This window comes from Homo sapiens, chromosome 4, assembly GCF_000001405.40.
Source record: "Homo sapiens chromosome 4, GRCh38.p14 Primary Assembly".
Taxonomy (NCBI): domain Eukaryota; kingdom Metazoa; phylum Chordata; class Mammalia; order Primates; family Hominidae; genus Homo; species Homo sapiens.
The window spans coordinates 138356948-138379341 of NC_000004.12; the positions used below are offsets into that span (position 1 = coordinate 138356948).

Here is a 22394-nt window from a genome sequence, read left to right on the forward strand (position 1 = left end):
GGATAAAGAGTCAAGACCCATCAGTGTGCTGTATTCAGGAGACCCATCTCACATGCAGAGACACACACAGGCTCAAAATAAAGGAATGGAGGAAGATCTACCAAGCAAATGGAAAACAAAAAAAGGCAGAGGTTGCAATCCTAGTCTCTGAAAAAACAGAGTTTAAACCAACAAAGATCAAAAGAGACAAAGAAGGCCATTACATAATGGTAAAGGGATCAATTCAACAAGAAGAGCTAACTATCCTAAATATATATGCACCCAATACAGGAGCACCCGGATTCATGAAGCAAGTCCTTAGAGGCCTACAAAGAGACTTAGACTCCCATACAATAATAATGGGAGACTTTAACACCCTACTGTTAACATTAGACGGATCAATGAGACAGAAAGTTAACAAGAATCACCAGGAATTAAACTCAGCTCTGATCCAAGCAGACCTAATAGACATCTTCAGAACTCTCCACCCCAAGTCAACAGAATGTACATTCTTCTCAGCATCACATTACACTTATTCCAAAATTGACCACATAGTTGGAAGTAAAGCACTCCTCAGCAAATGTGAAAGAATAGAAATTATAACAAACTGTCTCTCAGACCACAGTGCAATCAAACTAGAACTCAGGATTAAGAAACTCACTCAAAACTGCTCAACTACATGGAAACTGAACAACCTGCTCCTGAATGACTACTGGGTACATAAAGAAATGAAGGCAGAAATAAAGATGTTCTTTGAAACCAGTGAGAACAAAGACACAACATACCAGAATTTCTGGGACATATTTATAGCAGTGTGTAGAGGGAAATTCATAGCAAAAAAATGCCCACAAAAGAAAGCAGGAAAGATCTAAAATTGACACCCTAACATCACAATTAAAAGAACTAGAGAAGAAAGAGCAAACATATTTGAAAGCTAGCAGAAGGCAAGAAATAACTAAGATCAAAGCAGAACTGAAGGAGATAGAGACACAAAAAACCCTTCAAAAAAACCAATGAATCCAGGAGCTAGTTTTTGAAAATATCAACAAAATTGATAGACCACTAGCAAGACTAATAAAGAAGAAAAGAGAAGAATCAAATAGACGCAATAAAAAATGGTAAAGGGGATATCACCACCGATCCACCAGAAACTACCATCAGAGAATACTATAAACACCTCTACGCAAATAAACTAGAAAATCTAGAAAAATGGATAAATTCCTGGACACATACACCCTCCCAAGAGTAAACCAGGAAGAAGTTGAATGCCTGAATAGACTAATAACAGGCTCTGAAATTGAGGCAATAATTAATAGCCTACTAACCAAAAAAAGTCTAAGGACAGACGGATTCACAGATGAATTCTACCAGTGGTACAAAGAGAAGCTGGTAACATTCCTTCTGAAATTATTCCGACCAACAGAAAAAGGGGGAATCTGCCCTAAATCATTTTATGAGGCCAGCATCATCCTCATACTAAAGCCTGGCAGAGACACAACAAAAAAAGAGAATTTTAGACTAATATCCCTGATGAACATCAATGCAAAAATCCTCAATAAAATACTGGCAAACCGAATCCAGCAGTACCTCAAAAAGCTTATCCACCACAATCAAGTTGACTTCATCCCTGGGATGCAAGGCTGGTTCAACATACACAAATCAATAAACATAGTCCATCATATAAACAGAACCAAAGACAAAAACCATAGGATTATTTCAATAGATGCAGAAAAGTCTTTGACAAAATTCAACACCCCTTCATGCTAAAAACTCTCAGTAAACTAAGTGTTGATGGGACGTATCTCAAAATAATAAGAGCTATTTATGACAAACCCACAGCCAATATCATACTGAATGGGCAAAAACTGGAAGCATTCCCTTTGAAAACTGGCACAAGACAAGGATGCTTTCTCTCACCACTCCTATTCAACATAGTGTTAGAAGTTCTGGTCAAGGCAATCAGGCAGGAGAAAGAAATAAAGGGTATTCAATTAGGAAAAGAGGATGTCAAATTGTCCCTGTTTGCAGATGACATGATTGTATATTTAGAAAACCCCATCATCTCAGCCCAAAATCTCCTTAAGCTGATAAGCAACTTCAGCAAAGTCTCAGGATACAAAGTCAATGTACAAAAATCACAAGCATTCTTATACACCAATAACAGACAAACAGAGAGCCAAATCATGAGCGAACTCCCATTCACAATTGCTTCAAAGAGAAAAAAAATACCTAGGAATCCAACTTACAAGGGATGTGAAGGACCTCTTCAAGGAGAGCTACAAACCACTGCTCAATGAAATAAAAGAAGACACAAACAAATGGAAGAACATTCCATGCTTATGGATAGGAAGAATCAATATCGTGAAAGTGGCCATACTGTCCAAGATAATTTATAGATTCAGTGCCATCCCCATCAAGTTACCAATGACTTTCTTCACAGAATTGGAAAAAACTACTTTAAAGTTCATATGGAACCAAAAAGAGTCCACATTGCCAAGCCAATCCTACGCCAAAAGAACAAAGCTGGAGGCATCATGCTACCTGACTTCAAACTATACTACAAGGCTACAGTAACCAAAACAGCATGGTACTGGTACCAAAACAGAGATATAGACCAATGGAACAGAACAGAGGCCTCAGAAATGATACCACACATCTACAACCATCTGATCTTTGACAAACCTGAGAAAAACAAGCAATGGGGAAAGGATTCCCTATTTAATAAATGGCGCTGGGAAAACTGGCTAGCCATATATAGAAAGCTGAAACTGGATCCCTTCCTTACACCTTATACAAAAATTAATTCAAGATGGATTAAAGATTTAAATGTTAGATGTAAAACCATAAAAACCCTAGAAGAAAACCTAGGCAAATACCATTCAGGACATAGGCATGGGCAAGGACTTCATGTCTAAAACACCAAAAGCAATGGCAACAAAAGCCAAAATTGACAAATGGTATCTACTTAAACTAAAGAGCTTCTGCACAGCAGAAGAAACCACCATCAGAGTGAATAGGCAACCTACAGAATGGGAGAAAAGTTTTGCAATCTACCCATCTGACAAAGGGCTAATATCCACAATCTACAAAAAACTTAAACAAATTTACAAGAAAAAATCAAACAACCCCATCAAAAAGTGGGTGATGGATATGAACAGACGCTTCTCAAAAGAAGACATTTATGCAGCCAAAAGACACATGAAAACACGCTCATCATCACTGGCCATCAGATAAATGCAAATCAAAACCACAATGAGATACCATCTCACACCAGTTAGAATGGCAGTCATTAAAAAGTCAGGAAACAACAGGTGCTGAGAGGATGTGGAGAAATAGGAACACTTTTACACTGTTGGTGGGACTGTAAACTAGTTCAACCATTGTGGAACTCAGTGTGGCGATTCCTCAGGGATCTAGAACTAGAAATACCATTTGACCCAGCCATCCCATTACTGGGTATATACCCAAAGGATTATAAATCATGCTGCTACAAAGACACTTGCACATGTATGTTTATTGTGGCACTATTCACAATAGCAAAGACTTGGAACCAATTCAAATGTCCATCAATGATAGACTGGATTAAGAAAATGTGGCACATATACACCATGGAATACTATGCAGCAATAAGAAAAGGATGAGTTCATGTCTTTGTAGGGACATGGATGAAGCTGGAAACCATCATTCTGAGCAAACTGTCCCAAGGACAGAAAACCAAACACCACATGTTCTCACTCATAGGTGGGAACTGAACAATGAGAACACTTGGACACAGGGTGGGGAACATCACACACTGGGGCCTGTTGTGGGGTGGGGGGATGGGAGAGGGATAGCATTAGGAGATATAACTAATGTAAATGATGAGTTAATGGGTGCAGCACACCAACATGGCACATGTATACATATGTAACAAACCTGCACATTGTGCACATGTACCCTAGAACTTAAAGTATAATAAAAAAAAGAAAGAAATCATTGTCCTTTACCTTTTCCCTGCAACTCGCTCCTCTTAATTAACTGAGATGTGATTGTAGATGTGACAATCTGAAAATACTCACAGATGAACCTCCATAACCTAGAATATAAAAAATTAATAAAATGTTATATATCTCATGAATGCATAAAACATATGTAGATATGAGTCTATTTTGTGATTTACTACCATAAAGTATACACAAATCTATTATACAGAGTTAAAATTTATCAAAACTTGCACACATGCTTACAGACTGTACAGGGTTCCATTTGCAGTCAGGTGAAATGTAAACAAACATAAAGTTGCAGTATTAAAACATAACTGAATAAAATTAACTGTAGTAATGCTGTACTGCTGTAATAATTTCATAGTCACCTCCTGTTGCTATTGCAGTGAGCTCAAGTGTTGCAAGTATCTGCTTAAAATGCCATGTGATGCTAATCATCTCTGCACGAGCAGTTCATCTCATCTCTCCAGTAAATTGCTTATCACAGTAAAAGGTAATCTCTCGTGGTTCTTGAGTATTTCTTATTGTGTTTAGTGCAATACCATAAACCTTGAATTACACCATGAGACCCATTCAAAGTGCCTCTAGTGATGCTGGAGGTGCTCCCAAGAAGCAGATAGGCATGACATTACAAGAAAAAGTTGAATTGCTTGATATGTACCATGGATTGAGGTTTGCACCTTCAGTTGTCATCCCCGCCACCCCATTTCAGACAGATGATTAATCTTCTAAACAGGCAATGTAAACTTATAGTCTCGACAAATCCAGTAAAGTACTATAAATATATTTTCTCTTCCTTATGATTTTCTTAACATTTTCTCTTCTGTAGCTTACTTTCTTATAAGAATACTATAATAAAATGCAAAATATGCATTAATTGACTATGTTATCAGTAAGGCTTCTGGTCAACAACAGGGTTTTGGGGGAGTCAGAGTTATGTGGTGGATTTTCTAGTGCTTACGTTTCAGCACCCCTAACTCATGTATTGTTCAAAGACCAACTTTATATCAATTATGCACCATATTACTTTCTAAAATCTAAAAAAATCTGAATCTTCAAACATGTCTGGCTCAAAGAGTTTCAGATAAGAGATTATGGAACTATGCAATGAGCAATTTCTAGTCCAAGATTTCTCCTCTACTGTTCACCATCCCAACAGGGGGTGAGGCTTATTCTTGGTGGAATTGAATCTGAGACATCATAATCTCTGGTTCATATTTGGTTCATAGAAAAGAGCAGCTGGATTTATGCTCTCTGGGCAGAACATTGCAGATTAGAGGAATTTTCCCTGAGTTGGCCTAAAATAAAAGACATATACCGTTGACATTTGAGGGTTCCTGTGCAAAACACTGGGAATGCTGTTTATTCGCCCTATAGAGATGTCTCAGCCAAGCATAAATCAGAATGAATCAACCTTAAGTCACACTGAATAGAAGTCAAGGATCATTAGACCTTTGAGAACATGAAAGACTAAATAAAATAAATGAGATGAAGAACTCTGAGTAAAAAATTTCCCCAAAGCTGTAATTAATATTCTCAGAAAGGAACAATTACATCCGTGAAATGAGAACAGAAATTTTATTTTTAAAAATCTTCAGAAAATAAATAACATAAGAGGATTAAGAGTATATAATACTTGTATTCATTTGAAGTACTGGAAATTAAACCTGGAGGAAACAACTGTCAGAAAAACAGAACAAAAAGGTAACTACATGGAAAATAAGGAAGAAGTACCATATTAGTCTGTTCTCATACTTCTATACAGAAACTGCTGAGACTGGGTAACTTATAAAGAAAAGAGGTTTAATTGGCTCATGGTTCTGCAGGGGGTACAGGAAGCATTGCCGGATCTGCTTCTTGGGGAGGTCTCAGGAAACTTACAACCATGGCCAAAGGTGAAGCAGAAGCAGGCACGTCTTATATGGCTGAGACAAGAGCAAAAGAGGGCAGGGGAGAAGCTACACACTCTTAAACAACCAGATCTCACAATAACTTACTACCACGAGAACAGCACCAAAGGGATGGTGTTAAACCATTCAAGAAGAATGCACCCCCATGATAAAATTGCCTCCCAACAGGCCTCACCTCCAACACTGGGGACTGCAATTGAACATGGGATGTGGTGGAGACACAGACCCAAACCATATCAAGTACCTGCACCAAGGCATACATTAGTAAAGTTTCAGAACATCATGGATTGTTTTTAAACCTCAAAAACTCCCAAGGGTAACAAACATGCTGCATGGAAAAAAATCAGAAATCAAAAAGGCATACCACTAGGCACTAGAAGATAACTGGCAAGTCTTCAAAATTCTCAGGAAAAACTAATTTCGAACTAGTCTTCTATATCCATCTCATATATTAATTTGAAAAATAGTATATAGACATACAATCTTTTAAGACTATTACCTTCCAAATATCAGAGTAAGTTCCTTGGAGAACACACTTCAAGAAAACCAAAGAGTAAAGAGGAAAACGTGAAATCAAAGAAACAGGAGTGTCCATTTCTTTAAAAGGCAGTTAGAATTTCAAAGATAATACATCTTATAGTAATATATTATCCTAAGAACAATCTCAGAAAATATTTGCTCCAGATTGGTGCCTTAGACTTCACAGTGTGCTTAACCACATTGAAAGAGCTATAGAAACTAAGTAAACAAAAAACAAAGCAATTATTACCTTCAACAAAAACGAAAAGTTATATAAGAAAGAAATTGTGATAATCATAGTAAATCATACGGCTTAGACATTGGTCTAGCCATTATCTATAATAAATTTGTAAACATCAAATATTGAGTAGCAAAAATGATCACTATATCTATTCTAGTCAAATGGGGAAAAGGAATTATGGGAGTGAGTATAAGGGATTGAGTTAGTGTGAGAAAGTGAAATGCTCATTTTTCAGAGTAGAGAGTCAAAAACTAGTACATAACATTTCAAAATCAAGAACTAGTCATATATGTTTGAAACTTAAAAATAAGAAGGTAAATGTTAGAATAAATGGTTAAAAGAGTTGAAAGGTGCTATCTTTGTTACGGAGATACTGGGGTTGTTCTGCTTGAACAGGAGACTGGTATTTTTCATTATAAATCACTGATTTTTTATAAGGTCTTAATTTGATATAAACAAAAATCAAATTTTTAATAAAAAGAGCCTAGTGATTATTTTAGCAAACAAATAAGATTACTATAATTATAATTTCTCACTTGTACAAGTTTAATATTTTCCTTCATCTCCCTTTCCATCTGAACTGCTTTTTTTGCCAGATTAATCTTTCCACAGAAAAGCTCAAATCATGTTGTTTTGCTTAAAAACTTTAAGTGGCTAAACTCATTAACTTAGCATTGGAGATCTTCACAACTTATTTTCCATCTATTTTTCCTTCCATTAATCAACAGATATTTATTTGTGGAGCAATTGCTGCATGTTCTGTTGGAAGCAAAGAGGATATAATGATGAACAAGGCAGATATAATTCAGGTGTTCAAGACACTTAAATTCAACATACTTCTGCTAACATCCTCTTTTCCTAGGCCTTTGTTCTAAACTTTTGACTTGTCAGTCTTCTACTTCGTCTTCAAGTATGCGTGTACAAGCTCTGGTTGTACCTCAAGGCAGAATACAAATGCTACTTCCTTAACAAAGTCCCCAGGTGGAAGTTCATTTTTCTATTCCAAATGTCCTTTGAACTTTAGCCTCACGGCTTTTATGCGTTTTCTCACTATTACAGCAACTCACAAATGTGTTATCATCCCAACTAGAACTTGGGTTCCTTGAGAAGGGGGGTCCCTGAAAGACACATTTTTATATACGCTACGGTTCCCCTGCACATGGTAGATACTTAATAAAGTATTACCTGGATCATCCATTTGGCATTTGGATAGTTTTACCTACAACATCAGAATACCATTTTAATAGTGGCTTATATACTAAGACATTTACTTTTTATTCTTTGTTAAATGTTTCATTATAGAATAGTTTTAGATTTACAGAAAAATTGCAAAGATAGTACAGAAAGCTCCCATGTACCTCATGCACAGCTTTCCCTATTATTAACACTGCACCTTTGGCACAATTAATTAATTAATATTTATACATTATTATTAATTAGTATCCATAATTTGTATGGATTTCCTTAATTTTTACTTAATGTTCTTTTTTCTTTTCCTGGATGCCATCCAAGATACCACATTTCATTTAGTTGTCAAGTCTTCTTAGACTTCTCTTGGCTGTGACAGTTTCTCAGACTTTTCTTGTTTTTGATGACAGTATTACTTTTCTTTTGCTGTAGTAAAATATTACCACAAACTTAGTGGCTTAAAATAATCCAAATTTATTATCTCCCAGATCTGTAGGCTATAAGCCTAATATAGGTCTAACTGGGCTGAAATCAATGTGTCAGGAAGGCTTTATCCTTTCTGGAGGCTCTAGGGAAGAGTCTATTTCCTTGTCTTTTCCAGCACCTAGGGGCTATTCACATTCCTACCATAATGACCCTTGATAGTTTGGAGTAGTATTGTTCAAGTATTTTATTGAATGTCTCTCAATGGGGATGTGCCTGGTATTAATATTTTTCTCATGATTAGACTTGGGTATGGTTGGGTTGGAGGGGGGAGCATCACAGAGGTAATGTAACACTCTCATCACCAAACAAGTGTACATGATTTATCAGCATGACTTACCACTGTTGCTGTGAGCCCTGACCACCTGGCTAAGGCAACATTAGCCAGAGGTAGTAGACAGAATACTAGCCCCCGCCCCCGGCAAATGTCTCTATGCCCTAATCCCTGGAATCTGTGAATATGTCAGGTTACATGACAAAAGGAAATTAAGATTACTAATGGACTTAAGCATGGCAATCAATGGACCTTCTGATAGGAAGGTTATCCCAAATTACCTGGGTAGGCCCAATGCAATCAAAAGGAAGAAGAGAGAGTCAGAGGAAAAGAAGAAAGCAGATGAAGGAAGTAGGTCCAAGTGATGTGATGTGAGAAGAACTGGACCTGTTGTTTTATGGCTTTAAAGATAAAGAAAGGGGACCATGAGCCAAGGAATGTGGGCAGCCTCTAGAAGCTGGAGAAGGCAAGGAAACTGATTCTTTCCTGAAGCCCCCCAAAAAGAATGCAGCCCTGTCCACATCCCTGCTAAGACCTTGATGTTAGTCCAGTGTTAGACTTCTAACCCCAAAACTGTAAGGTAATAAAGTTTTATTGTTTTACATCACTAACTTTGTGATCACTTGTTACAGCACCAAAAGAAAACTAATACATTGGGCTTTTCCACTGAGAAGTTACTCTCTTCAACCTCTTTCCATACTCTACTCTTTGGAGAGAGGCTACTTGTGCACCGTCCATACTTAAGAAGTAGGAGTTATCCTCCGCTCCCTTGGGGCTGGAGCAGCTACATAAACTCTTTGAAATTCTTCTGCAGAAGAAATTTGTTTGTCTTCCCCCATTTGTTTATTTATTTAGTCATTTAGATCAGTATGGGCTCATGGATATTTATGAATATTTAGGATTATAACCCAATATTGCCTCATTTGTTTTATTGCTCCAATTTTTTTTTTTTAGTTTTAGCTATTGACAGCTTTTTCAGTTGGCTTCTGTGTCTCTTTGACATACCTCTACAGTTGCAGGGTTTTTTGAGCATTTCCTTATTTTCTGGCACTACAATGTGGTCCATACTTGTAAAGTCTGATGGTGGAATATGCAGGTTAGTTCAGTAGCTCCACGGTATCATCAGAACATGCCTCTTTCTTTTTGCTCTGCTATCCACAAAGTGCCAATAATGTATCCTTTTATGATCACGTGTTGTCTCCAGAACTTCAAGCATTACAATATCATTCCAAAGTCTTCCCAAGCAGGAAGAGGGCAGGAGCAAAAGAGCTTCCTTCTTTTGTGCCTCTCTCTTATAAGGATGCTAAATCCTGAAAAGCTTCCATTAGATCTCCATTTACGTTCCCTTGGCCAAAACTGGGTCACATGACCATTCCTGGCCCAGTTACTAGCAAAAAGATCTCCATGACTGGTTTTGACTGATCATGTCCACTGGGGCTGGATACAATATCTAACCCCTGCCACCAAAAATAAACAAATTGGAATTTGCTTGCAAAAAAGAGGGAAGGAATGTAGTTTGTTCTTCAGTGGGCAAAAACTCTGCATTTGACTAACAGATAATCTGTTTCATCTTGCTTTATTTTTAATATGAAATGAATTTGAAAGACATAGCAGAAACACTGCACTGACTCATTAATCATCACATTTAAAAATACATTTCTTATGGTCTTGACAAGTATTGACAGCTGAAAAGACAAAAGCATACTTTTCACATTGAAACAAAAAAAATTTTTTTTTTAAGTTAGAAGCCTTAAAGGGAAAGTTACTTATTTCAGGGCTTTGCAATACATATCCCAATTAAGATTCTCAAAAATCAGATTTACAAGGTGACTTAACTGTTTTTGTTTTGTTTTTGATGTGTCAACTTATCTAGGCTACACTGTCCAGTTATTCAATCAATAACTCCTAACCAGTTGACTTTGAGTATGGTAGATTATCCAGGTAATCTAAATGGTCATGACTGAATGAGCTAGAAAAACTTAAAAGCAAGGCTGATGTTGCACTGAGAGAGAAGAAATTCTGCCTATGGAGAGTAGCTCCCACTCATGCCCATATGTTGGAGCTTACCCACGAGCTTCCTTTCCTTATTGCCTGCCCAGTGGATTTCAGACTCACTTAACCAGCTCCCACAGTCCAGTAAGCCTATTCCTTGTAATAAATCTCTCTTTCTCCCTCCCTTTTCCTCCACCTCATCTAGCTTTCTAGCTATCTACTACCTATCTATCATCCATCTATCTGTCTATGTATTCATTCTACTAGTTCTGCTTCTTGGGCTGAACACTGACTGAAACACTTAGAGACAAACTACTTCAGACAAGATCATCTTCTGGTTCTGTATTCTAGTAACATTCCTTCTTCACCCCAATAAAAATGCTTTTTCTCTGAAAATTGCAGTAACTCACATAGACAAAGAATTAGCAGTTTTATTGTGATCCATTCAGTGTTTAGTGTACTCTACCTAAGACACATTCTCCAGAAGAAAATTTCTTCCAAGCTTGGCTAAATTAGAAGGGAGGATTTGAGGAAGGGTTGTTATGAGGAAAAACTAGGGCAGAGTGCAGAAGGTGAGGACACATTCACAAGATGAAAAAGAATACATGTTGACTTTTTGACAAAATAAATATGTCAAAAACATCTGCTGATCTTTGGTGTTTTGAGTACTCCACAGGCTTGTTGACACAATGCTAGAAGTAAACAGGAATCCAAAGCTGACTGATTCCAACTCTGGCCTTTCAACAGGGGCCAAACAGCAGTGCTTGCTTTTATTTATTTGAAAACAACTCCTCTGGCTTCCTTAGTTGTGATGATACTCCAACCCTTCTTCTTTCCGGGACAGTTATTCAGATTTATTGCTTATCTTAAGAGTAATTCATGAACCACAGAAATTATTCTTTCCTATGAATCCATCTCAGGCAGTATCTTCAGATGAAAATCTCATGTTCTTTGTATCTTACTGTCACCAGAGTAGCACAGGGTTTGAAGACAGAATACCTAGGTTTGAGGCCTGTCAAATCTTGTATCAGAACACTCTCTATAGCCCTTTCCTCTTTATTTTTCACCATAATACTCACTACATTCTTACAGTCAATATATCTATTCGTTCCATTGGTTGTCTATCTCCCCTACTAGAATACAAACTCCAAGAAGGCTAGGATTTTCCTCCATGAAATCACTGCCATATCCCAGTATGCAGTGCAGTTCCTAAACATAGTACATGCTAACTATTGAATGAACAAAGCTCACTCTGTTACTCTATCTGTCATGTGGACATAATAATAGAATCTGATTTACTACATTATTATGAGGGGAAAATATTAATACCTGTGACACTCTGGGATATCTCAGTTAGCCTGAACTCAAACTTTCTATAAGGATTTCAACATCTGCTTCTTTCCAAACAGAGGATATGGAAGATAGAAAAATATGGAGCAGAAATAAAGCATTAATTAATTTTAGCCTTGCTCAGAATTTACTATTCTGCTATCTATAATTTTTTAATTCTTTATCTACAACATTGTTGTGGGCTGTAATTCATTGAGAATTTTGTCTGTTCGCTTTAAACTGTCCTCACACTAATTAGGGATTTAGGAAGAGCCTCTGCTGCTTATCATTTAGTCAAGTCAGTCAGCCAGTCAACAAGTAGGATAATTGCTGCCTGGCTTGATGCTGTAAGTGCTGAAGTATTAAAGATCAATAACATATTTGTTCCAGTAACTAATAATAATATCAGGCAAATTTTACTCAGACATAACCCAAATACCTTAGGTTGCACTTGGCAGTTTATATCTCTTATTCTTTCTTTAGTGGAAATGAAAAAGAAAAAAAAAGATATTCCCCCCTGCAATAAAATACTGAACAGAGCTTGCAAATAAACTCATTTGAATATTCAGATTTTAACCCTGAGACCAAAAAAACACAGAAATTTGCAAGGCTTCATTCTCTAATTCCCCATAATTGAGAATGAATGATCCAATGTTAAATAAAATATATTCATGCATTAAGTTCATAGGAACATAAACAAGAATGTTAACAGTGGTTCTCTCTGGGTCATGGGCGATGTTTGTTGTTGTTGATATCTTTATTTTTTTCTGCAGTGAACATGCATTATTCATATGCTAATAATAAAAAGAAAAAAGTATTTTTTCTTTAAAATTGCATTTTAGATATTGGGGTAATAGAAATTTTGCAATTGTCTGCAAAGTCTTGTTACCATTAACTAAGTAGAATAAGGGGGAAAGGTAAAAAACCAAACAGGAGTTTAAAACTTGAAAATAGATAACCACAGGTCATATAAGAAATGTGCAGTCAAAAGTTCAATAAACAAACTGTTTTGGCAGCACAGTTAACTCAAACCATTTATAAGCAACTTCTCTTGGCCCTTCTGATATTTTCCCATAAACACTAGGATATCACTGTGTTTAGGGACTGCCAGGCTATTGGCAGGGGACAAAACACAAAGCACATTTTTTACTAATACTATTTTATTTTAAAATGCAATTGATCTTAAGGTACCTCCACAATTGCAAATTGGGGGCTTTTCAAGTAATTTATAGGGAAAAACTCTGAAGTTTATCTTTGAAATGAAATGAAATAATACCTGCACTTCCTACTTTGGGGAAATTTTATGTTAAATCACGCCAACAGGCAGAGATGACAAAACATCCAGAAATATTTAAGATTTCATTTCTCTTCCTGATAACGACAAGGTTCATTTTGTGCTCTCAGAGGGGAAATCAAATCTGATTTACAGTCAACTACCTCAGAGCCATGATCCACATTTCATATTCTTTAAGCAGCCTCAGCATAGCAGCGATATTACTGTCCTTTCACAATGGGGCTGATCAACTGCCAAAGGCCTGAAAAATCATCAAATGCTTTCATTTAAAACTACCTGTTTCTTTATCATGATAAAGCATGATGCGCAGCATGTGGCAAAGTATCATAATTTTATTGGCAAAAGGAAGCTTGATTTACACAATCTTTCTTTGAAAGGGAAAACAGTAGCAGTGAAAGGGACAGACTACATCTAGATGTATTCTTCCATTCATCTCACTTTCCCTCCTTTCTTTGTTTCACCTAACCAGCAAAATATCTCACTCCCTTCCTTGGCCCTGTCTGAGAAAAGCTCAAGAAAGATAACCAGAAAAGCATCTGAAAAGTAACATTGATCAGCCTTATTCTCATAATCCTCAAATTACAATTCTGATCTTGAACCCCAAGCAGGCCAGCAGTAAGCTAAAAGGAAATGTTAGTGAACAGGCAATGAATTTAAACGTCCAGCAGAAAAGGAATTAAAATGCCTAATCACCCTACCAAGCTCATAAGATGTAGCAAAGCAAATGCTACCTGCCTGAGATTGAATTACCGTTTGGAGCAAAGATTGTTTGCATCTCTTTAAAGATATGTGGGGGTCATATTTTATTGTTTCTAGTTTTCTATTGGAGCTAGATCCAACTTAGTCAAAATTGTGGTGCCTGATAAAACTCCCAGGGGCACATCCACATTCCCAAGTCTGCCCCAAGTCATCATTATGGCCCATTTGGCTTTTCCTTTTTCCTCTTCACAACTGCCATAAATTTCAATGATAAGATTTGGAAGTGGAATAAGGAAGGTAAGAGATAATTTTCTGTGTTCTTGAAGAGATACCAAGATAAAGAATATACTTTATCCATCAATGTTTTCCTCTTGGATAACTGAGGGCAGAAAGTTAAAAAAAAAAAAAGTTTGGAAAGCCAGGTTGGTGATTCAAGGAAACTTTATAAAAGCAAAACAAAACAGCATGGTGAATACTAACTTTAACACAAAGCATAACTAATTGCCCATTTTTCCTTTTCCAGAACCTGAAATCATTTGAAAGAGTTGTATCAAACTTCCTTTGCCTTTCTGCTCAAAATCATTACCTCTTTTTAGAATCACACATTCCCTACCAAGACCTGGACTCTTGCCATTCACAGAAGACCAACATAGCTTTCTATTTAGTAATTTAGTCTTGTTATTGGACCACTTTTTAATTTAAAACATTTAAAGTTCAACTATGTCCCTTTATCTCAGAATTACTAGGAAATGCAGAACTAAAATTATTCATATGGCCAACCCCTTCTATGCAGAGAAAAAAATTTAAAAGTAAAAATAATGTTGCATGAAGGAAAAATGCTTTCCCAGATAAACAAAAGTTGAGAGATTTCATCAACACCAGACCTGTCCTACAAACAATGCTAAAGGAAATATTTCAATCTGAAAGAAAACAATGTTAATGAGCAATAAAAACATCATCTGAGGGTACAAAACTCCCTGGTATAGTAAGTACACAACAAAACCCAGAATACTATAGTACTGTAATTGTGGTATATAAATTTCTTATATCTTAAGTAGACAGACTAAAAGATGAACCAATCAGAAAAAATTACTACAACTTTCAAGACATTCGTAGACAGTACAATAAGATATAAATACAAACAACAAAACATTAAAAAGTGGGAGGATGAAGTTAAAATGTAGAGTCTTCATTAGTTTTCTTTGCTTGTTTGTTTGTTTGTGCAATCAGTGTTGAATTGCCATCAGTTTAAATTAATGGGAGTATAAGATATTATCTGCAGTCCTCATGGTAACCTTAAATCAGAAAACATGCACAGATACACAAAACCTAAGAAGCAAGAAATTAAAACATGTCACCAGTGAAAATTACCTTCATGAAAAGGAAGACAAGAAGGAAGGGAAAAAAAAAAGATAAGACCACAAAACAACCAGAAAATAAATAACAAAATGGCAGGAGTAAGTCCTTACTTATCAATAATAACATCGAATGTAAATGGACTAAGTTCTCCAATCAAAAGATATGGAGTGGCTGAATGGATTAACAAAAAAACACCCAGTATCAGTCACCTATAACAAATACTTCACTCCATAAAGACACACATAGACTAATAAAGGGATAAAAAAAAATTGTCCATGCAAATGGAAACCAAATAAGAGCAGGAGTAGCTATACTTAGACAAAATAGACTTCAAGACAAAAACTGTAAAAAGAGATAAAGAGGGTCACTACATAATGATAAAGGGGTCAGTTCAGCCAGGGGATATAACACTTGTAAATACATATGCAGCCAACACTGGAGATATATATATAAAGTTTGCTTTATATATTTGCTAATATATAAAGCAAATATTATTAGAGCTAAAAAGAGAGAGAGACCCCAATAAAATAATAGCTAGAGACCTCAACACTCCACTTATAGCCTTGGACAGATCATCCAGACAAAAAATCAACAAGAAACGTCAGACTTAATCTGCACCACAGACCAAATGGGCCTAACAGATATCATGCAATGGCTACAGAATAGACATTCTTCTCCTCAGTATGTGGATCATTCTCAAGGATAGACCATATGTTAGGTCACAAAACAACTCCTGAAACTTTCAAAAAATAGAAATTATATGAAGTATTTTCTCTGACCACAGTGGAATAAAACTAGAAATCAATAACAAGAGGAATTTTGGAAACTATACAAACACATGGAAATTAAACAATATGCTCCTTAATGACCAGTGGGTCAATGAAGAAAAAAGAAGGAAATTGAAAAATTTTTTGAAACAAATGATAATGGAAACACAACATACCAAAATCTATTGGATACACCAAAAGCAGTACTCAGAGGGAAGTTTACACCCGTAAGCACTGTATTACTCTGTTTTCACACTGCTGATAAAGACATAACTGAGACTGCGTAATTTATAAAGGAAAAGAGGTTTAATAATATAAAGGAAAAGAGGTTAAGAGCCACATCAGTTCCATGTGGCTGGGGAGGCCTCACAATCATGGTGGAAGACACATTTTACATGATAGCAGGAGAGAGAGAATGAGAGTCAAGTGAAAAGGGAAATGACGTATAAAACCATCAGATTTCATGAGACTTATTCACTACCACAAGAACAATATGAGGGAAACTGCATCCATGATTCAACTGTCTTCCACTGGGTCCCTCCCACAACACATGGGAATCATTGGAGCTACAATTTAAGATGAGATTTGGCTGGGAACACAGCCAAATCCTATCACCCTATCCCTGGCGCCTCCCAAATCTCATGCCCTCACATTTCATAACCAATCATGCCTTCCCAAAAGCCTTCCAAAGGCTAAACTCATTTCAGCATTAACTCAAAAGTCCACAGTCCAAAGTCTCATATAAGACAAGGCAAGTCCCTTCCACCTCTGAGCCAGTAAAATCAAAAGCAAGCTAGTTACTTCCTAGATAAAATGGGGGTACAGGCATTGGATAAACACAGCCCTTCCAAATGGGAGAAATTGAGCAAAACGAAGGGGCCACAGGCCACATGCAAGTCTGAAATCTAGTGGGGCAGTCAAATCTTAAAGCTCCAAAATAACCTCCTTTGACTGAATGTCTCATATCCAGGCCATGGTGATGCAAGAGGTGGGTTCCCATGGTCTTAGGCAGATCTACCCCTGTGGCTTTGTGGGGTATGACCTGGCTCCCAGCTGCTTTCATGGGCTGGCATTGAGTGTCTGCAGCTTCTCCAGGTGCACAGAGCAAGCTGTCAGTGGATCTACCATCCTAGGGTCTGGAGTACAGTGGCCCTCTTCTCACAGCCCTGCTAGGCAGTGCCCAGTGGGGACTCTGTGGGGGGGCTCTGACCCCTCATTTCCCTTCCACACTGCTCTAGTAGAGATGCTCCATGAGGGGCCCACCCCTGCAGCAAATTTCTGCCTGGACCAGGTGTTTTCATACATCCTCTGAAATCTAGGTGGAGGTTCCCAAATCTCAATTCTTGACTCCTGTGTCCCCACAGGTTCAACACCACATGAAAGCTACCAAGGCTTGTGGCTTGCACCCTCTGAAGCCGTGGCCCAAGCTGTACCTTCGACCCTTTTAGTCATGGCTGGAGCAGCTGGGCCACAGGGCACCAAGTCCCTAGACTGCACACAGCAGAGGGACCCTTGGACCAGCCCACAAAACCATTCTTTTCTCCTAGGCCTCTCATCACTGTGTGATGAGAGAGGCTGCTGCAAAGGTCTCTGAAGTGTCCTGGAGACATTTTCTCCATTGTCTTGGTGATTAACATTTGGCTTCTCGTTACTTATGCAAATTTCTGCAGCTAGCTTGAATTTGTCCTCAGAAAATGGGTTTTTCTTTTCTATTGCAATGTCAGGCTGCAAATTTTCTGAACTTTTATGCTCTGTTTCCCTTTTAAAACTGAATGCCTTTAATAGCATCCAAGTCACCTCTTGAATGCTTTGCTGCTTTGAAAATTTCTTCCACTAGATACCCTAAATCATCTCTTTCAAGTTCAAAGTTCCACAAATCTCTAGGGCAGGGGCAAAATGCTGCCAGTCTCTTTGCTAAAATATAATAAGAATCACCTTTGCTCCAGTTCCCAAAAAGTACCTCATCTTCATCTGAGACAACCTCAGGCTGGATTTCATTATCCCTATCATTATCAGCATTTTGGTCAAAGCTATTCAACAAATCTCTAGGGAGTTCCAGATTTTCCCACATTTCCCTGTCTTCTTCTAAGTCCTCCAAACTGCTCCAAACTCTGCCTGTTACCCAGTTCCAAAGTCGCTTCCACATTTTTGGGTATCTTTTCAGCAGCATCCCACTCCTGATACCAATTTACCATATTAGTGCATTTTCATGCTGCTGATAAAGACACACCAAAGAGTGGGTAATTTATAAAGGAAAAGAGGTTTAATGGACTCACAGTTCACATGGCTGGGGAGGCCTCACAGTCATGGTGGAAGGTACATATCATATGGCAGCAGACAAGAAAGAATGAGAGCCAAGTGAAAAGGAAAATGCCTTATGAAACCATCAGATCTTGTAAGACTTATTCACTATTGTGAGAACAGTATGGGTGAAACTGCACCCATGATTCAGTTATCTCCCACTGGGTCCCTCCCACAACACGTGGGAATCACAGGAGCTACAATTCAAGATGAGATTTGGGTAAGAACACAGCCAAACCATATCAAGCACCTACTTTTAAAAAAGTAGAAAAACTTCAAATAAACTACTTGATGAATTTTAAAGAACTAGAAAAGCAAGAGCAACTCAAACCCAAAATTAGTAGAAGAAAAGAAATAAGATCAGAGCAGAAAGAGTTGAAATGAAGAAAACAATACAAAAGATCAACAAAATAAAAAGTTATTTTTTGAAAAGATAAACAAAATTGACAAACCTATAGACAGACTAAGAAAAAAAGAGAGAAGATCCAAATAAATAAAATCAGAGATGAAAAAGAAGATATTACAACTGATACCACAGAAATTCAAAGGATCACTGGAGGCTACACTGAGCAATTATATGCCAATAAATTGGAAAATCTAGAAGAAAAATGGATTAATTCCTAGACACATAGAGCCTACCCAGATTGAACCATAAAGAAATTCAAAACCTAAAGAGACCAAAAACAAGTAACAAGATCAAAGTTGTAATAAAAATTCTCATGGCAAAGAAACACCCAGGACCAGATGGCTTTACTGCTGAATTTTACCAAACATTTAAAGAAGAATTAATACCAATCCTATTCAAACTACTCCAAAAAATAGAGGAGGAGGATGTACTTCAACCTCGTCCTATGAAGCCAGTGTTACCCTGATACCAAAACCAGACAAAGACACATCAAAAAAAGGAAACTAGAGGCCAATGTCACTGATGAACATTGATGCAAAAATCCTCAACAAAAAATATTAGCAAACAGAATTCAACAACAGATTAAAAAGATTATTCATCATGACCAAGTGGGATTTATCCCAAGGATGCAAGGATGGTTCAACATACTCAAATCAATCAATGTGATTCACCATATCAACAAAATGAAGGACAAAATCATATGATCATTTTAACTGATTATGAAAACGCCTTTGATGAAAGTTAACATTCCTCCATGAGGAAAAAAACCTGGATAAACTGGATATAGAAGGAACATACCTCAACACAAGAAAAGAAATATATGACAGACCCACAGCTAGTATCATACCAAATGAGGAAAAACTAAAGTCTTTCCTCTAAGATCCGGAACGTGACAAGGATGCCCACTTTCACCAGTGTCATTCAACATAGTACTGGAATTCCAGCTAGAGCAGTCAGACAAAAAAAGAAATAAAGAGCATCCAAATTAGAATGGAAGAGGTCAAATTATCCTTGTTGGCAAATAATATGATCTTATGCTTGGAAAAACCTAAAGACTTCACTAAAAAACTATTAGAACTGATAAACAAATTCAGTAAAGCTGCAGGATACAAAATCAGTGTACAAAAATTAGTAGAATTTCTATATGCCAATAGCAAACAGCCTGAAAAAGAAATCAAGAAAGTAATCCCATTTACAATAGCTACAAATAAAATAAAACACCTAGAAATTAACAACCAAGGTGAAAGATCTCTACAATAAAAATTATAAAACACTGATGAAATAAATTGAAGAGGACACACGAAAAAAGGAAAGCTATTTCATGTTCATGGATTGGAAGAATCAATATTGTTAAAATGTCCACACTACCTGAAACAATCTATAGATTCAATGCAATCTCTATTAAAATACCAATGGCATTATTCACAAGAATAGAAAAAACAACTTTAACATTTACATGAGTACACAAAAGACCAAGAATAGTCAACACTATCTTGAACAAAAAGAACAAAAGTAGAGGAATCACATTACTTGACTTCAAATTATACTACAAAACTACAGTAACCAAAACAGCATGGTACTGGTATTAAAAAACAGACACATAGACCAGTGGAACAGAACAGGAAACCCAGAAAAATATCTATACAAATGAGTGAACTCACTTTTGACAAAGTTGCCAAGAGTATACATTGGGAAAAGACAGTCTTTTCAATAAATGGTGCTGGAAAAACTAGATATCCATATGCAGAAGAAAGAAACTAGATCCCTATCTCTCACCATATACAAAAATCAAATCAAAATGGATTAAAGACTTAAATCTAAGGCCTCAAACTATGAAAGTACCAAAAGAAAACTTTGGGGAAGCTCTCCAGGACATTGGTCTGGGCAAAGATTTCTTGAGTAATAGTCTACAAGCACAGGCAACTAAAGCAAAAATGGACAAATGCAATCACATCAAGTTTAAAAGCTGCAGCATAGCAAAGAAAACTATCAGCAAAGTGAAGAAACAACCCACAGAATGGGAGAAGATATTTGCAAACTATCCATCTGACAGGGGATTAATAACTAGAATATATAAGGAGCTCAAACAACTCTATAGGAAAAAATCTAATAATCTGATTTAAAAATAGGCAAAAGATATGAATAGACATTTCTCAAAAGAAGACATACAAATGGCAAGCAGGTATATAAAAAGGTGCTCAACATCACTGATCATCAGAGAAATGGAAATCAAAACTGCAATAATATAACATCTCACCCCATTTAAAATGGTTTTTATCCTAAAGACAGGCAATAACAAATGCTGACAAGGATGTTAAAAATAAAAAGGAACCCTTGTACACTGTTGATGGGAATGTAAATTAGTACAACCACTAGGAAAAAACAGTTTGGAGGGTCCTCAAAAAACTAAAAATGGCACTACTACCATATGATCTAGCAATCCCACTCTTAGGTATATACCCAAAAGAAAGGAAATCAGTATGTTGAAGAGATATCTGCACTCCCACGTTTACTGCAGCACCATTCACAATAGCCAAGATTTGGAAGCAACTTAAGTTGAATGGATCAACAGATAAATGAATGAAGAAAATGTGATATATATACACAATGGAGTCAGCCATAAAAAACAAATGAGATACCGTAATTTGTAACAACATAGATGGACTTGGAGGACATTATGTTAAGTGAAATAAGCCACACACCAGAAGATAAACTTTGCATGTTCCCACTTACTTGTGGAAGCTAAAATTTAAACACTTGAACTCATGGAGATAGAGAGTAGAATGATGACTACCAGAGGCTAGGAAGAGCTGTTGGGTGGGGGGACAGAAGGGATGGTTAATAGGTACAAAAATATAGCTATATAGAATGAATAAGATCTCATGTTTGACAGCACAACAGCATGACTAGTCAACAATATATTATTGTACATTTTAAAATAACTAAAAGATATAATTGGATTGTTTATAACACAAAGAAAGGATAAATGCTTGGATGATGGCTATCCCATTTACCCTAGCGTGATCATTACATACTGTATGACTGTACCAAAATAGCTCATGTACCCCATAAATACATACACCTATGATGTACACACAAAAAACTCATGCAACCCATAAATATACACACCTACTATGTACCCACAAACATTTTTAAATTTAATTAACATTTAATTTAATTACATTTAATTAAATTTTAAAAATTTAATAATGTTGCCATGTTTAGACAAAAGAAATTCATAGCAAAATTTGGGGCACAAATTCGGGCCTGTCAATTTTTCTATTTTCTGAAAGTATATATAGCAGATTTATTAAAAAGTAAAATGTAATCATTTGTAGCTTTTGTTGTTGTTGTTGTTGTTGTTTTGAGATAGAGTGTTGCTCTGTCACCCAGGCTGGAGTGCAATGGCACCATCTCAGCTCACTGCAACCTCTGCCTCTGGGGTCCAAGTGATTCTCCTGTCTTAGCCTCCTGAGTAGGTGGGATTACAGGCACCCACCACCATACCCGGCTAATTTTTGTATTGTTAGTAGAGATAGGGTTGTACCACGTTGTCCTGGCTGGTCTTGAACTCCTGACCTCAGGTGATCCACCCACCTCAGCCTCCTAAAGTGCTGGGATCATAGGCGTGAGCCACCATGCTCAGCCTCATTTGTATTTTTAAATATGC

At 36.8% G+C, this 22394-nt stretch overlaps 1 long non-coding RNA gene across 1 annotated transcript in view; it reads left to right on the forward strand.

The window, feature by feature from the left end:
* Window positions 1–22394, forward strand: part of LINC00499 (long intergenic non-protein coding RNA 499) — a 114634-nt gene that overhangs the window by 47237 nt on the left and 45003 nt on the right. Inside the window, exon 2 of the long non-coding RNA NR_051987.1 lies at window positions 4349–4455. This is a non-coding gene — a long non-coding RNA (long intergenic non-protein coding RNA 499). The remainder of the gene's footprint in view (window positions 1–4348; window positions 4456–22394) is intronic.